This window comes from Homo sapiens, chromosome 7 (genome assembly GCF_000001405.40).
Source record: "Homo sapiens chromosome 7, GRCh38.p14 Primary Assembly".
Taxonomy (NCBI): Eukaryota; Metazoa; Chordata; class Mammalia; order Primates; family Hominidae; genus Homo; species Homo sapiens.
Genome location: NC_000007.14, coordinates 144,726,561 through 144,743,266, shown reverse-complemented (window position 1 = coordinate 144,743,266; position 16,706 = coordinate 144,726,561). Strand labels below are relative to the sequence as shown.

The 16,706-nt window shown below is 35.7% G+C and overlaps 1 protein-coding gene across 40 annotated transcripts in view; it reads left to right on the top strand.

The window, feature by feature from the left end:
* TPK1 (thiamin pyrophosphokinase 1) overlaps positions 1–16,706 on the top strand; it is a 384,497-nt gene that overhangs the window by 93,171 nt on the left and 274,620 nt on the right. For 4 of the 40 annotated variants that reach the window (XM_047420196.1, NM_001350884.2, XM_011516037.3 and 1 more), the window contains exon 1: positions 4,369–4,431. The exons of 35 other annotated variants lie outside the window; for them this stretch is intronic. The gene's annotated coding sequence lies outside the window, so the exon portion shown is untranslated. Of the gene's footprint in view, positions 1–4,368; positions 4,432–7,013; positions 7,114–16,706 lie in introns of those variants that run through there. One more of the 40 variants, NR_146936.2, reaches the window with a different exon arrangement.

Here is a 16,706-nt window from a genome sequence, read left to right as displayed (position 1 = left end):
CAAAATGAAAAGATAATTATAAGTTATAGCACATGGATAGTATTTACCTTAGTAAATTTAAAGAGTATTTCAAATAAAAGCCAAAGTCATAAATAATTAAACTTCTGTCCTTTTATTTAATGAATGATACCTGCATAATTCTGCAACTCAAGCAAACATAATAAATATGTCAGCAAAATGAATGAGAAAAGATTATAGAGATAACAGGTTAACTGTGGAATGAAGAAATTATAAAACTAAATTAACTTAAAATGTATACAGAAGAATATTTATCACTGAACTTTCTGTCATTGCCTGTGCTTTTTTTCTGTCTTGAATAATAATTTTTGAAGTGCTGTCACCTGTAGTCTTCAAGCATATATGTTTAGAAAAATGTCATATTAATGGAAATGAATGTTACCTTATATTGAGATTTTCCAATACTGGACATCAGAACTTCCTGAAGATGCTGGGAAGCATTTTGATGTATACCTGGAGGCTGTATTTTTCCTCCAGAGGCTTATTTTTTACTGACTACTATATTTCTTTCCCTTGCTCTTTCTTTTCCTCTATTTTTTAACTTTTTTTATTTTTTGAAGTCATTCTTTTTTGTTACTATACTGCATCATCCTTGTTAATAAATTATTGAGACTATCTTTCTTTCCGTTCTCTTTTCCACCCAGTCTCATGTGTGCCTGTGAGTTAAATGCTAGGTACTAATAAAGGAGATGTGAAAGACTTGTACTAGTAGGGCTGATGGTACTATAACCTGTGATTTGTGCCTCTTCTGAGCCTGTGAGACCTGCCTTGTGAGACCCACTTCGCCATGTTAGTATCAGGATATTTCCCAGAGAATAACCCATCATTCTGATTAGGCTTTCCTCATCTGCTTAAAGATGTGACTGCCCTGATCAAATATTACCTTATAGTTTCCTACAAACTTCTAATTTCTAATCAGGTCACACTTTTACTCTCTGGAAGAGTGCCAGTTGAGATACTTTGTGCCTAGTAGTATTTGGTTCTCCAGAAATGACAGATGATCAATGGAGGTAAAAGAAGCCACTTGGATTCTGCAAAATGTTTACACACTCAGGTTGCTCATTTCTGTTTTTTCCCTTCACCAAGCTTCACCCATTTCTTCCTCCAGCCAAAAGTAATCCTGTCTTAATGTCATCTCGTGTGTATTTATGTGTGTGTGTGTGTGTATATGATCTCCTCCAGTGTGACTGTGTTAAGACAGTCTTTGGATGGTATCTGACTACTGTGTTGTTACATAAAATTAGGTGGTTGTTATACTTGATTACTTAATTGGGTGCCGCCATTATCTTTATTTGAACTCACCAAATAGCCCATTTTCTTTTCAGTTTTGGTGCCGTAACAAAAAGTGAGAGAAAACATTTCTCCAAAATAATCAACATACTTATCACTATTTTGTCTTCTTAAAGCATTGGTAAACAGATGTGTTTTTATTTTTTTAACTTATGGAATGGGTTGTTTTTGATTAATTTCTTCAAAGTTTGTATGATTTTTTTGCACATTTTATCTACTATCAGTGTTATTTGGAATGATTAAAATGTTAGCACCTTAGATAATGTAATAGATGAAGATGGTATTTTTAATGTTTAAGCTAGCTATTTGAAACTTTCTTTTAAAAATACACTAATAACTATTATGTTAAAAATATAACAACTGAAGGAAATTAAAGAATTGGAAAGAATAGTATTCTTTATGAGTATTTAATTTAAAGTATTTATTTAAGTCTGTTATCTAACTATGTGGAATATTGTAAAATACAGGTATCTTTCAATATGCCAAAACAACAACAACAACAATTCCAAATCCAGATAAATTAAGGACCATTTTCTAATTTTGGAAAAAACTAAATTTCTCCTAACTTTATTTTCTCAGGAAATGGAGTCTTTCCTATATAAATTTTATAAAGGTAAAGGCAATAATGTTCTTTTGAGCTTTTGGAGATAAGCATTATATAGTAGCAAATAAAGTGAAGATTTATGCTAGAACCTAGGAGGTAGAGGTCGCAGTGAGCTGAGATTGCGCCATTGCACTCCAGCTTGGGTGAAGGGACAAGACTGTCTCAAAAAAAAAAAAAAAAGTGAAGATTTATATTTCATGAGATTTAAATTTATTAATACAGCACAGACATAGATTATAAGCAATAATTAAGCTTTTAAATGGCCACATTAATGTCAGAAATTGAGGCTACATTTATTTTTCCCTTCAGCTTTTGTCTGCTTCCAATTCCTTTTGCTACCTATATTCCATATATAAACTGGTACTTTTTAACTCTGTATCCCCTCTCTCCCTCCCACCCTACAAGCCCATCTAAGTTTTGCTTTATAACTGTGCCTGGAGAATAGCAATAGGTAATTTTAATTAAAACAGTACGGAAGTTTTCCATAGGGGACTACATTTAATAGAATTGTTTTGGCTGTTTACTTTGAATATTGGATTAAGATTTATTTGTTTTCAAATTGCTAAACTGATATTAACTCTATTATTCTTAGCCTGAAATATGCTCTCTACCGCATATTTCTTTTTTCTTTTTTTGAGATGGAGCTTCACACTGTTACCCAGGCTGGAGGGCAGTGGCGCGATCTTGGCTCACTGCAGCCTCTGCCTCCCAGGTTCACATGATTCTCTTGCCTCAGCCTCCTGAGTAGCTGGGACTACAGGTGTGCACCACCACGCCCGGCTAATTTTTGTATTTTTAGTAGAGACAGGGTTTCACCATGTTGGCCAGGCTGGTCTTGAACTCCTGACCTCAAGTGATCCTCCTGCTCAGCCTCCCAAAGTGCTGGGAATACAGGCATGAGCCACCATGCCTGGCCTCTACTGGATATTTCTATGTAAGTCTCTTACCTGACACATTTGAAACCACATCTTTGTCTTAAAATCAGAACTTCGGTGGACTTACCTCCTTTTTTATTCACTAAGGCTCACTCTGTGGAGCTATTTTTAACCCACGACTTCCTTATTTTTTTTTCATCCTTATGGGTATGATCAACTATTGTCAAGTTTTTCTTTACAGTGTTTTCATATTGTTCTCATCCATTTTTACTTCCTACCTAAACTAATCTCTTCTTGATGCTAATTCTGTCCTATTTCAGCTGTTCTCTGAGTTGTCTGCTTCTGATTATTTTCCAGTTACATTTATGCTGCACGTTACCTTTTAGATTCATTTGTCTATGTTCTTGTTCTCTCAGTTCAGAAGCTTTGCAGGTGTAAACATTTCCTAGAGCGTGACATCCAGCTTCCTTAGGCTTTAAGAAGTGTTTACAATTTATATTTGAAATTTCTTTCCCATCCTTACTCATATATGTGTGTCTTCACAGGTAGACTGAGCATAAAGTCTTTGGCTTCTCTCTCTTTATGTTGGTGCTTCGTATAGCACCTTGCATGTTGTGCGCCGTTGGAGATTGTGTTGAAGAAGAGAATCTCTTTCTAAAGAAAATATTTAAATTGATGCATATTAGTTGTACATGTTTATGTGGTACATGTGATATTTGATATATGCCTACAGTGTGTCATGATCCAATCAGAGTATTTAGCATATCCATTGTCTCAAACATGTATCATTTCTCTGTGTTGGGAACACTTCAGATCTTCTGTTTTGAAATATATATTATTGTTAACTGTAGTTACACTACTGTGCTATTGAATACTAAAACTTATTCTTTCTATCTAACTTTATGTTTGTACCCATTAACCAGCCTCTCTTCATCTGCCTGTGCCATAGCCTTCCCAGCCTCTGGTTACTATCCTTCTACTCACTACCTCCATGAGATCAGCATTCCTAGCTCTTGTAATCTCTGTTACTTGTACATTTCTGTTTTTCTGCCTGCCCGCACTTCTTTCTGTGTGTCTGGCAGCCTGCCTGTCTGCCTGCTTATGCCCATTTATTTACTGTGACTTCATGTTCTACGTTTTCCATTTGAGGAAAATTGGTCTGATGTCTACTGGCTACTTCAATTTGATCCCCCCCTCCTTTTTTTCGGTGAGCACATAAACAAGTTTTTTTTTTCTTCAATGTTTACTTTTCTTCTAAAATTTAAAGACTTCTACAACCAGTTTTTTTTTTTTTTCCAGAATATCATTGCATTGCTTCCTTGAGTCCCTTATAGCATGGGAGCTCTCTGCATGTTGTATCTCAAGGGAAATTATCCTTGTAGTGTATACAGTATTTTTAAAGTGTTTCCGTGGAAAGCAGATGGACTCTTTATTTTGTGTTTCTCTGTATTTCTGATTATCCATGCAGTGGAAGTGATTAATTAATATAGATAATGGCAAGATTGTCACAGAACCATTGACTTTTACATTCAGGTAACTTATTCGTAATACTCTTTTGGCAGTTAACTGCCACCAAGTGGTGGTTGTATGCCATAGCTCTGTAACATGAACAGTGTTTCCAATAAACTGTCCACCGCAAAACCCGTAAGTTTCTATATGTTAATATCCAGCATCTTAATGAAAAATTACACTTAGCATTGTATAGTGAATTGAAAACCAGTATTTTTCAGGAAACATTAAAAAAGTAAACTTTTTTCTGTATTTTTTGTTTTTTGTTTTTGTTTTTTTTGGTTTGTTTTTGTTGTATCTTTTTCTTTGTTTTTTTTTAATTTGGCTTTTTTTCATATTTTTTAAAAAGTAAACATTTTGTGTTTCAAAGATTGCTATCAAGAAAGTGAAAGGAAACCCAGAGAATGGGAAGAAATATTTGCCAATCATATTTGCCAATCTTATATCTGATAAAAGACTTATATCTAGAACATATAAAGAATTCTTACAGCTCAATAATAAGAAAAATGATCCAATTTAGAAACGAACAAGGGATCTGAATAGACTTATTCCAGGGAAGATATACAAATGGCCAACATGCACATGAAAAGATGCCTGACATCATTAGTCATCAGGGAAATGCAAATCAAAACCCAAATGAGATACCACCTCACACCCTCTAAGATGGCTAGAGTAAAAAATTCAGATACTAGCAAGTGTTGGGGTGGATATGGAGAAAGCAGAACCCTCATATACCGCTCGTGGGAATGCAACATTGTGCAATAAATTTGGAAAACAGTCTGGCAATTCCTCAAATTGTTAAAAATAGAGTTACCATTTGACCCAGCTATTTCCACTCCTAGGTATGTACCCAAGAGAAATGAAGATATATGTCCAAACAAAACTTGTACTCAAATGTTCATAGCTGTGTTACTTATAATAGCCCAAAGGTAGAAACAACCCAAACGTCCAGTAATGGGTGGATGAATGGAAAAAACAATGGCTAAAGAATATGTTCCATTCATATAATAGAAAATTACTTGGTCAGAAAAAGGAATGATGTATTGATACATGCTGTGACATTGCTGAACCTTGAAAATATTAAGTTAAATGAAGGAATGCAGACACAGAAGAACATATTATGGTTCCATTCATATGAAATGTCCAGAACAGGCACATCTGTAGAGATACAGAATATATTAGTAGATGCTGGAGACTAGGGCAATAGGGGAGACTTACCAAAGTGTAGGGTTTCTTTTTAGGATGATGAAAATATTCTAAAATTGGTCATGATGGTTGCACAACTCTGTGATATACTAAAACCATTAATTGTACAATTTAAATGTATTAATTTTATGGCATGTGAGTTATATTTCAATAAGGTGTTACCCCCAAAAATAGACATTAAGGTGTAATTTATTATATTTTAATCTTTATTATTCCATCAATGTAATATTTGTCTTGATTAGGATGTTCACTTTTTTATGAGCTTTAACTTATAGCAAAATTTATTTTATATTCTGTCCTCACTTCTGGATATGTTCATTTTGTTCATGTGCTATAGGCCAGTGGTTCTCAAATTTAGCATGCATCAGAATTACCTGGAGGGCCCTAGCCCAGCATTTTGGATTCAGTGGGTCTGGGATAGGATTTAAGAATTAACATTCCTAACAGGTTTGTCTTACTTCCTTCTTCTTTTCCTTCCTCCCTCCCTTCTCCCCCTCCCTTATTCACTTGCCTCCTCTCTACTCTACTGCCCTGCCCTTCCCTCCCCTCCCCTCCCTCCCTCCCTCCTTTCCTTCCTTCTTCCCCCACGTTTTTTCTTTTCTTTCTCTTTCTCTCTTTCCCTTTCCCTTTTCCTTTCCTTTCCTTTTCTTTTTTCTTTTCTTCTCTTTTTTCTTTTTTTTCTCTTTCTCTTCTCTTTTCTTTTCTCTCTTCTCTTCTCTTTTTTCTTTTCTTTCTCTCCTCCCTCCTTTGCCTCCCTCTGGTCTGGTTTGATAACCAGTGGCTTAGGTCTTAGGGGAACATTTTTGTTTTAGCACAACTTTTATTAGATTCTGAGATAATGGCCTTCATAGATTTAGACTTCAGCCCTACTAAAGTCTCATATAGCATCAATTCTTGTCTTTTACCAGTGAGAACATAGCTTTTTAATATTATATTTCCTTTTGTGAATACTTCCCTTCTCCTCTCTGCATGATAAGTTTGATGTTTAAGTGAAAGCTTTTGTTTACTGGGTTTTAATTTTGATTTTCTTTAACATTTACGGCAACTGCTTCTTTGAAAATATCCCCTTAGAAAGCTTAGAAATTCTGTAATACTACAGAAAATAAAATATTTTGAACAGAAAAAAGTTAATTTCTTTAAAAAGTGATACATTTATGAAGCTAGGCAAAAATGTCAGTTGTTACCATATTTTGGTGTACTTCGCTGTTTTTAGTACTTATTATTTTAATTCCCAGATCAAAGAGGGATCTTTGTTTATTTTAATTAGAACACTCTTGTTTACAATATTTTTACTAGGGTGAGCTTTATGTGGAAGAGTGTGACAAGCTATCATTATTAGCATTAAATTCTTAATTAAAGACACTGTTTTCTGAAGAAATTTGTCTTCTTGATTTAAAACAAACAAGCAAAGTGTTTAGTGAAAAGGACATATCCTTAGGATTATGTCACTATAAAGTTCTTAAGCCTCTTGTCCAATGTTGCAAATTAATAATGTTCAAAATGCTTATTAGGTTAAAAAATGAGTGAGCTCCATGAGCTGAGGAGCTAGCAGATTGCCGGGATTACAAAGACAACGAGACAGGACCCTTTCCTTAGCAGGATTTACAATCTGTAAGTGTGTGTTATAAATCAATCAGTGAGGATTTATGTATCATCCGGGATTTTACCAATGTACTGTGCAGGATGCTTGAAAGGAAATTTGAGAGGCAGATAAGGAAGGCTGTGCCCTTGAGAGTTTTTAACCTGTACTGAAGATGAAACCCAGCACAAGAAATAACCACCTGTATGCGTGTCGTATTTTGTGTGGTGGGGAGTATGCATGCTGCTGCAATTCTAAAAGGGACTTTAGGGATTGAGCAGAGATCTGCGTGGATGCACACACGTCAGGAGTTGGCTGAAAAACTGCTGCAGGCAAAAATGCCATCGCTGATAATAAATTGTAAGGAGATCAAAAGTGATGTTTCAAAAAGGAAAAAAAAAAAAAACACCAGGGCATAGAATTCTTTATTTATTATGCTGGTGTGGAAGGGAACAGCTGTTATCTTTCAAACTGAAGAATCCTGACTGACACTGACCAGTTTAGTGCCTCTCTCTTCTACTGTATTATAGAGGATGTTTTTTCTTGGGCTTTGGCTGGCATGACAGTGTTCAAGGATCCTTCTGGAAAAGTAGAAGAACCTGGAAGCCAAAAACCCAGCCAGGTTATACTTAAAATATTTCACAATGTTGAAGTAAAGTATGCCACTAGGATTAAGAATTCTACTTTATGAGCAGAGGCAGAAATGTAATGAAAAAGATTGTAATATAGAGAATATTAGAAGCAACCTACTACCTTGGACTTATCTGCCACATTTGAGTGTTAGAACAGTCTCGAGTCCTAATAACCGTGGAAAATTTGATTACAAACATCCATTTTTAGCCAAAGAATTGGATTGTCTGTCCTTCATGTAACAGTAACAGTTACATTGGAAGACTTGTATGGAGAATGTCATGTAGCACAGTTAGGCACTATCTCCTGAAAACAGTTTGAATTTAACCTAAAACTTTTTTACTCATTATAGTTGTTTTATGTATGTGTATTGAATTGCAGTCAAATATTGTAATTATTATATCAGTATAGTCTTGCCTAGGCCTTATGACTTTTAATTAATGAGAACATGCTTCCTTGACTTAGCCAGATTTTTAAATTGAGGAGAGATGCTTGCTAGGGTGAATTAGCCAACAGTTTATAAATACGATGGATAGATAATACCTATTCACATTTTTTTACCTTATTGCAAAAAATTTAATAAGGAAACTTGAATCAGTCAATTTAAACTGTTTTGTAACACTGCTGATTTAAACGTCTTCAAAATATTTTCCTCATCTATAGAGACTATGTGATTGTATCAGACCCTTATATCACATGTGAAAATATTTCCAAATACATAAAAATACATAAATGTAAAAAAGAAAAACAAAAATTTTTGAAGGCAATCAGGATATATATGAATGTAGGATTAGGGAAGGTCTTTCTCATCTAGGATTGGAAACCTAGAAGTTTAAAAGCTAGGAGTATTTGACTGTTTAAAAGTTAGTACCTGGGTGTGGTGGAACACAACTGTAGTCCCAGCTACTTGAGAGGTTGAGGTGGGAGGATCACTTGAGCCCAGGAGGTTGAGGCTGCAGGGAGCCATGATTACAGCACTACACTCTAGCCTGGGTGACAGCGAGATCCTATCTCAAAAAAAAAAAAAAGGTACATTTTCGTTGGCATAAAATACCATAGTGTTAGTAGAAAAACAATAGATATGGAATTATAAGTATAAACAAAGTAAATGCCCAATCATCATTGAATAGTTATAGATTATGGCATATATGTGTCAAAGAATATGATGCCATTTTGAAAAAAAAGAATTAGAGCTGCACTCATTGCCTTGGAATTTCAGTGAGGTATTGAGTGAGGAGAAAAGTAGGATGCAGAAAAGTTCCCATTATTTGATGTGATTTTAATAAAATAAGTGAAGTAAACAAATCCACATATACATATTTACTGTGTATGGGTGAAAATTTATTTGTCTGTTTATCAACATGGAGAAGCAGGGATCCTATAATGTGTCTCTTAGACGGGTTGGGGAAGGGAATAAGGTGTGAGCATAGAGAAGAGAGAGGGAGAGAGCAAGCGAAAAACAAAAACTGCACAAATAGCATAAATAAAAGCCTTTATGATATGAACACATTTATACATATAAGATTTGAGATAATTATATAAGCTGTGTATGTGTAGTTAAAATTGAAGACAATTAAAAATAATGTGAAAGAGTGGGAGCTGATATGTATAAAAACAGAATTGACTGTAGACATCTCCTTTGGTTATAGGCAGAACTATAATAAGGTTTTGAGAAATACATATTTGATAACTATAAAAAAGCTTTTCTCACTACTGTTTTTTGTCTAATGGTTGGTAAACCTTTTTATATTGCAATCTTCTGTGTTGCTCTGAATCTCCAATTTATTTGAGAAAAATGACATTCAGAAATGCTTAATATAGTATTCAATTATTATTTCAATAAACATATGGATAACACTTATTTATGACATAGATAAGTCCTGCATACAGTGGCACACAGAGGCGAGGTATATAATTTGCCTGAGGGAGATCAGGGAAGGCTTCCAGGAGGATTTAGAGAATGCATGCTAGGTGGGGGGCAGCAAGAAAGAAAGTGCAGAATGGAGAAAGAGTATATATTTCTGTTTTAAACTCAATGGAAAAAACAACAAAGCAATAGATTGTAAATGGAAATTAATTGCTGCATTTTATTGAGTCTAAGAGACTCTATCAGTTTTATGATGCATGAGTATTTTATGTACCACAGGAAAGAAAAACTTGCTTATTAAACTTTTATATGTATGTAAATATATATATATGTATATACATATAAACTATTTTATATATGTAAATATATATGTATATACATATAGTTTAATAAGCAAGTTTTTCTTATATATGTATATTCATATATATGTGTGTGTGTACATATAATTTTTTTGTGTGTGTGTGAGACAGAGCTTCGCTCTTATTGCCCAGGCTGGAGTGCAATGGAACAACCTCGGCTCACTGCAACCTCCATCTCCCGGGTTCAAGTGATTCTCCTGCCTCACCCTCCCGAGTAGCTGGGATTACAGGCATGCACCACCACTCTGGGCAAATTTTGTATTTTTAATAGAGACAGGGTTTCTCCATGTTGGTCAGGCTGGTCTCGAACTCCTGACCTCAGGTGATCCACCCACCTCAGCCTCCCAAAGTGCTGGGATTAGAGCCATGAGCCACTGTGCCCGGCCTATTTATTATATTAACAGTTATTATCTCACAGATTCTCTGGGGCAAGAATTCAAGAGCTAGTTATCATAGGTGGTTCAGGCTTAGTATCGCTTATGAAATTGTAGTCAAGATGTTGGTTGGTGCTGTGGTCATCTGAAGGATTTCCTGGGGCTGGAGAATGTAGTATCAAGATGGCATACTCACATTGTTGATGCTGATGGGAGAATCCCTTGTCCCCCATGGAGATGGTTGACTACTCTTACAGCATGGTGATTGTCTTTCCCCAGAGTAAATGATCCAAGAGAACAAGTGAGAAAGATTCTGAAATGTCTTTTATGACCTAGTTTCCAAAATCACATTTCATTATTTCTGTCATATTTGTTAGAAGTGAGTTGCTAAGTCAAGCCAACTTTCAAGGGTAAGAAAATTAGACTCTACCCTTCTACGTGTCAAATGAGGAAAAACAAGGAATTTGTGGACATATTTGAAACCACAGCACTCTTAAAGATATAAGTGAAAAAAATGGTGAAGGATATTTTTTAAAACTTTGCATTTATTGTGTAACTCTTCTGAATCACTTTGCAAGAGAGTTGTTGATGTTCATGTTTTTCAACATAATATTGTCTTCTGTGCCACTAATAACACTGGCGATGAAGCATTTTTAAACGAATGATAGAGTGTTGACTTCCAGATCTTTCTTCAAGCTGCTGTCATCAAAGATGCATGTTTCAATGCTATTGTTTTCATAATCTTACCATATGAGTCAATGGAAAGGATTCAGTGAAATATGAATATTCATTTACCTTCCTAAGATGGTTCTCAAACGGCTTATTGATTGAAATGTTGAAAAGTTTCCTGGCCCAGATACGTCACCCAGTTTTTGCATATATGGATAATGACACTATATCATGATTTTCATCGGGCCAACAAATGTTTTTGAGACATATCCTATTTTCAGATTGTTAAAATATAAAAAGAACATGCTTGTTATTACTCAGTGATGTAGATAGCTATTCTTTTTGTTGGCTCAGTACTCCCCCTTTGTTGGCAAAAATACCTCTCCTCTCTCATTCTAACCATGTAGTTCTAGTGGAAGCTGCCAGTCATCATAGCCCAGACATTGGCTGCAGTGGTGGATTCCCTGAGCTGTGTCCAGGTCGATGGTCCCCCTGGCCACTGAGATTGGCTCAGGGATGGACACATGACTCAGTCCTATCTGTGTTCTTTGGATTTTATTTTTAAACTGGAACTAGCCAGGTAAAGTGCTTTTCTGGCATTGTTTAGGAAATATGAAAGAAATTTCAGTTTCCCTTGCAGACGTGTTCTGGCTTGGAGTGACAGGGGCAGAACCTGCAGAAAGCCATGATGCTAACAAGGACTTTTATAAATAAATTCACCTGCTTTGCTTACGGTAGTTCAAGTTGGGATCCTGTTCTGACCCATTAAAATTGGTAAACTATAATTTCATTATCTATGTGTTTTGCCTTTGTATACAATAAAACATAAAAATCACATCAGCCTTGAGGGCTGATGTGATTTTTATTTTATGACTTTGTCGCCAACCCTATTTTGTCCATTAGCTTTTGTTTTCTTTAACTGAAGATACTTTTACTACTATGGTTTTCAAAAACATCACTCTTGTAGTTGGGAAATACATAACCTTTTATTAATAATATAACTTTTAGTCTAGGCATGGTGGTTCACAGTTATAATCTCAGCATTTTGGGAGGCCAGATGGATCAGTTGAGCCCAGGAGTTCAAGACCAGCCTAGGTAACATGGCGAGATCCCATCTCTGCAAAAAAAATTTTAAAAATGAACTGAGCATGGTGTTCTGTTCCTGCAGTGTCAGCTACTCGGGAGGCTGAGGTGGGAGGATCACTTGAACCCAGGAGGTTGAGGCTGCAGTGAGCCATTACTGTACCACTGCACTCCAGCTTGGGCGATAGAGACTCTGTCTCAAAAAATATATGTATATATACATAAAACTGTTAGATTCACCAATAAGTGACTTTTTGTTGCATAATTAATACAAAGGGAAGATAACTAGGAACTTGTTAGCTATCCAAAATGTTTCTTCAGGAAAATAACAGACTTTAGAAATTGCCTAATGTTGTTCCTATGGTTTACCTTTGGCTTAGACAAAATTTATTTGACTAAGAAGTAGTATCAATTTGTAATGAAGAAAATGGAAGTCTTAGCAATACCGGAAGTGTGAAGTACTGAACAATTCAATTTATACGTGGGACATTTGTTACACCAGGCTTCATGCCACTGAATATGGCTGCTCAAGAGAATAGTCATGTTAGATGTAAATTTTAATAGTAATATTTATATACTGTTTTTACAAAGTTTACTTGAACATTAAAAACTAGGCGTTGCTGAAAAATTACTGTTTTTTAGGTCTTTTTTGATTTCTTTCATCAGCATTTTGGTAGCTTTTACCATATATTTTTAAAAGTACCGAGTTTTTAATGTGTAATTTTCAATGTTTAGATAAGCTCTGTGTAAACAGTATATAAATATTACTATTAAAATTTGTATCTAACATGACTCAGCATTTTGGTAATTTTTACCATATATTTTTAAAAAATGGTGTTTAAAATAGTATTTTAAATAATATATGGTAAAAATTACCAAAATGCTGATGAACGATGGTATTTTAAATACCATAAAATGATATTTAAAAAATATAGTACATATATTTTAATGTTTTTGCCTAAGTATTCTTTTTCTTTAAAGTGATCATAAATGACATTGTTTTTAAAATTTTTTTTCCACATGTTCATTATTGGTAGATAGAAATGTGATTGATTTTTGTATGGGGGTAAAGAGATCCTAATTTGAAAATTAACACTATTTGTTCCCATAGAAATAATGAACCACACAAAAGGCAATGTTCTTATTTAGGAAAAATCTTCAATGTTTTTGGTAACTTTTTTTAGGTTTTATATAATGTTCAGCTATAGCATACAAATCATTTAAAATATAACTTTATTTTAGCAGAAAATTTTTGAAAGAAATATTCATCGAGAGAAAATAATTTTATAAGGAATTGAATGATCCATGATACATAATTTTTGGAATATATTGATAATTCAATATGCAGAAAGAATCATTTAAGTTTAATTTTTTTTAAGACTAAATTAGTTTTGATTATCTGCGTAGTTTTCAAAAGTCAGCTTGATAGCCTTGCCTCTAAAAATCACTCAGTGTATCTCCTTCTAAATAGACATATATTAAACGTAATGATTTGGACATCTAATTAATGACATTTAAAATGAATTATACATATTATCTTTGCTCATTCAATCATCTATTTAAAAATATATAATAGGTAAATTTAGTAGTCAGCACACACATTCATATTTGAAGTCTTACAGTAGATTTATGTGTTATTTTTCTCAGTAACCTAAGGTTTGCTAGTAACTTTGTTATCCTCTGATAAAACCTGCCTTTATTAGTTAATGTTGACTTTGCTGCCTTTGCACAGTATTCACTACCACTCTTTATGGGTTGCAGAGTTACGACCACCATAAATAAAGACAGCATGAAGAGAAGGAAGAGATAGAATAGACAATTTATTTTCATGCATTTTTGGCTGCCATCTAAATCACGCTTGTCAGAGGAAAGTGGAGTTTAATGGTCATCCTTAACAAGTTTAGGAAAAAAATGTGCATTTTTACTCCTTCCATGTTGTGTTTTATGGTTATATCACATTTGGTTCAGAATAATGATGATTCAATAATGACATTTTATTATTCAAGCTTGATGAATAGGATTGGGAAGGGTTGTTTATTTTATCCTTCCAATTCCCTGTAACTAACAGTTTGACAAGAGTAAGAGACACTGACTGATGCTGTACAGAGACTGTTTAATGTTTTTTAATGAAGTGCTGGAGTTAAAATGGAAATATCTCTAGCCTAATTCAGACCCTGGCAGGTAAGGCTTGTTCCTTCTAGTGTGTTTATTGGAGCTCTGTCCAGCTTCATTTCACATGTGTGTTTTGGGGATTAGATATGCAAATACATATGTGTATATTAATATAATACATATATAAACATGTTTGCATATATTCAAAAACATTTTACAGTGCTTTAATTTTGTTTTACCAGCAAAATTCTTTTCCTCAAGTGAAATCATAGATAAGAAATCCTCTGGGAGTTTCCAGGACAGGAAACATACAAATGGAGCTCCTCTGGCTGCCAGGCCTCCTTACTGCTCTGCTGCACCCTCCGCTGATCTGTTCCAGTGCATGTAAATAGCGAGGATTCTTGCTAATCCCTCCTTTGCTATTCCTTAGATTATTTCTTCCCTACGTAGTAGGCAAGTCAGTAACGACCCTTTGATTACAAGGAAGTTTTAAAATGGCCCAATGACATATTTTAACCAGTTTGGATGGAATGAGCCCATAGCTCCTTTATTTTGTTTAGTTCATGAACTGATATCACTGTAAGCCAGACGACTGTTTGGAGGGAAAGATCATTTTTAAAGAAGTGAGAATTTTAATATATACATTGGAAATGGAATCAATCCAAAGTAAATATACAGAATTCCATTATGCCTCTAATTTTGCTATTTGTTAGCCACTTTCCTTATGTTGCCTGTATAGAGTGATAAAAGTGAGAGGTGGCCAAATTGAATTGTTCTGTTATTTAACATTAGGGAATTACACATTACTCTGCTAGTAACTTTTATGGGATATTTATGTATATGTGTATTTATTTATTTCAGAGACCAGGTCATGCTCTTGCTCAGGCTGGAGGGCAGTGGTGTGATCATGGTTCAGCATGGCTTTGAACTCCTAGGCTCAAGTGATCCTCACGCTGTAGCCTCCCAAGTAGCTAGGACCTACAACTGGTGTGCACCAATATGTGTGGCTAATTTTTAAATTTTAATTTTTGTAGCGATGGAGTCTTGCTTTGTGGCCCAGGTTGGTCTCCACCTCCTGTCTTCAAGTGATCCTCCTGCTTCAGCCTCCCATTGCTGGCGTTACAGGTGTGAGCCACTGTGGCAGGCCTGAAATCAGGAATAAAAAATGCAGCACAACTAGAATTTTTTTTCAATTATATGAGGTTTGAACAATTATTCTTGGCTTAAAACTTTTAAATGATTTTTTATATAGATAAAATTATGATCATTTCCCCTTTGACAATTGGAGTAAAATATTCTGCAATTGGAATGTCATGCTAATGAGGCATGTCTTTTGGCCAAAATAGGATATAATGAAACATGCTTTATGTAGGGACCAGCCCCACAGGGTCGGTGGGTCTCTCCCTGTGTGCGGCGACGAGAGAGTGTAGAAATAGAGACACAAGACAGAGATAAAAGAAAAGGCAGCTGGGCCCAGGGGACCACTACCACCAATGCACGGAGACCGGTAGTGGCCCCGAATGTCTGGCTGCACTGTTATTTATTGGATACAAGGCAAAAGGGGCAGGGTAAAGAGTGTGAGTCATCTCCAGTGATAGGTAAGGTCACGTGGGTCAGGTGTCCACTGGACAGGGGGCCCTTCCCTGCCTGGCAGCCGAGGCAGAGAGGGAGAGGAGACAGAGAGAAAGACAGCTTATGCTATTATTTCTGCATATCAGGGACTATTAGTACTTTCACTAATTTACTACTGCTATCTGGAAGGCAGAGCCAGGTGTACAGGATGGAACATGAAGGCGGACTAGGAGTGTGACCACTGAAGCACAGCATCACAGGGAGACGGTTAGGCCTCCAGATAACTGCGGGCAAACCTGACTGACGTCAGGCCCTCCACAAGAGGTAGAGGAGCAGAATCTTCTCTGAACTCCCCTGGGGAAAGGGAGACTCCCTTTCCTGGTCTGCTAAGTAGCGGGTGTTGTTCCTTGACACTTTTCGCTACTGCTAGACCACAGTCCGCCTGGCAACGGGCGTCTTCCCAGACGCTGGCGTCACCGCTAGACCAAGGAGCCCTCTGGTGGCCCTGTCCGGGCATAACAGAAGGCTCGCACTCTTGTCTTCTGGTCACACCTTACTATGTCCCCTCAGCTCCTATCTCTGTATGGCCTGGTTCCTTGGCTATGATTATAGAGCAAGGATTATTATAATATTGGAATAAAAAGTAATTGCTACAAACTAATGATTAATGATATGCATATATAATCATATCTAAGATCTATATCTGGTATAACTATTCTTGTTTTATATTTTATTATACTGGAACAGCTCATGTCCTCTGTCTCTTGCCTTGGCGCCTGGGTGGCTTTCCACCCACACTTTATGCTTCAACAGACTGTGGACAGTTGTCTCTCCATCATCCTTCTGAAGGGGCCACTCTTGGCATCCTGGAAGCGTGTTAATGCCGAATGTCCTTGATATGTCATTTTTTTGTTTGTTTGTTTTTGTTTTGTTTTGTTTTGTTTTTGAGACGGAGTTTT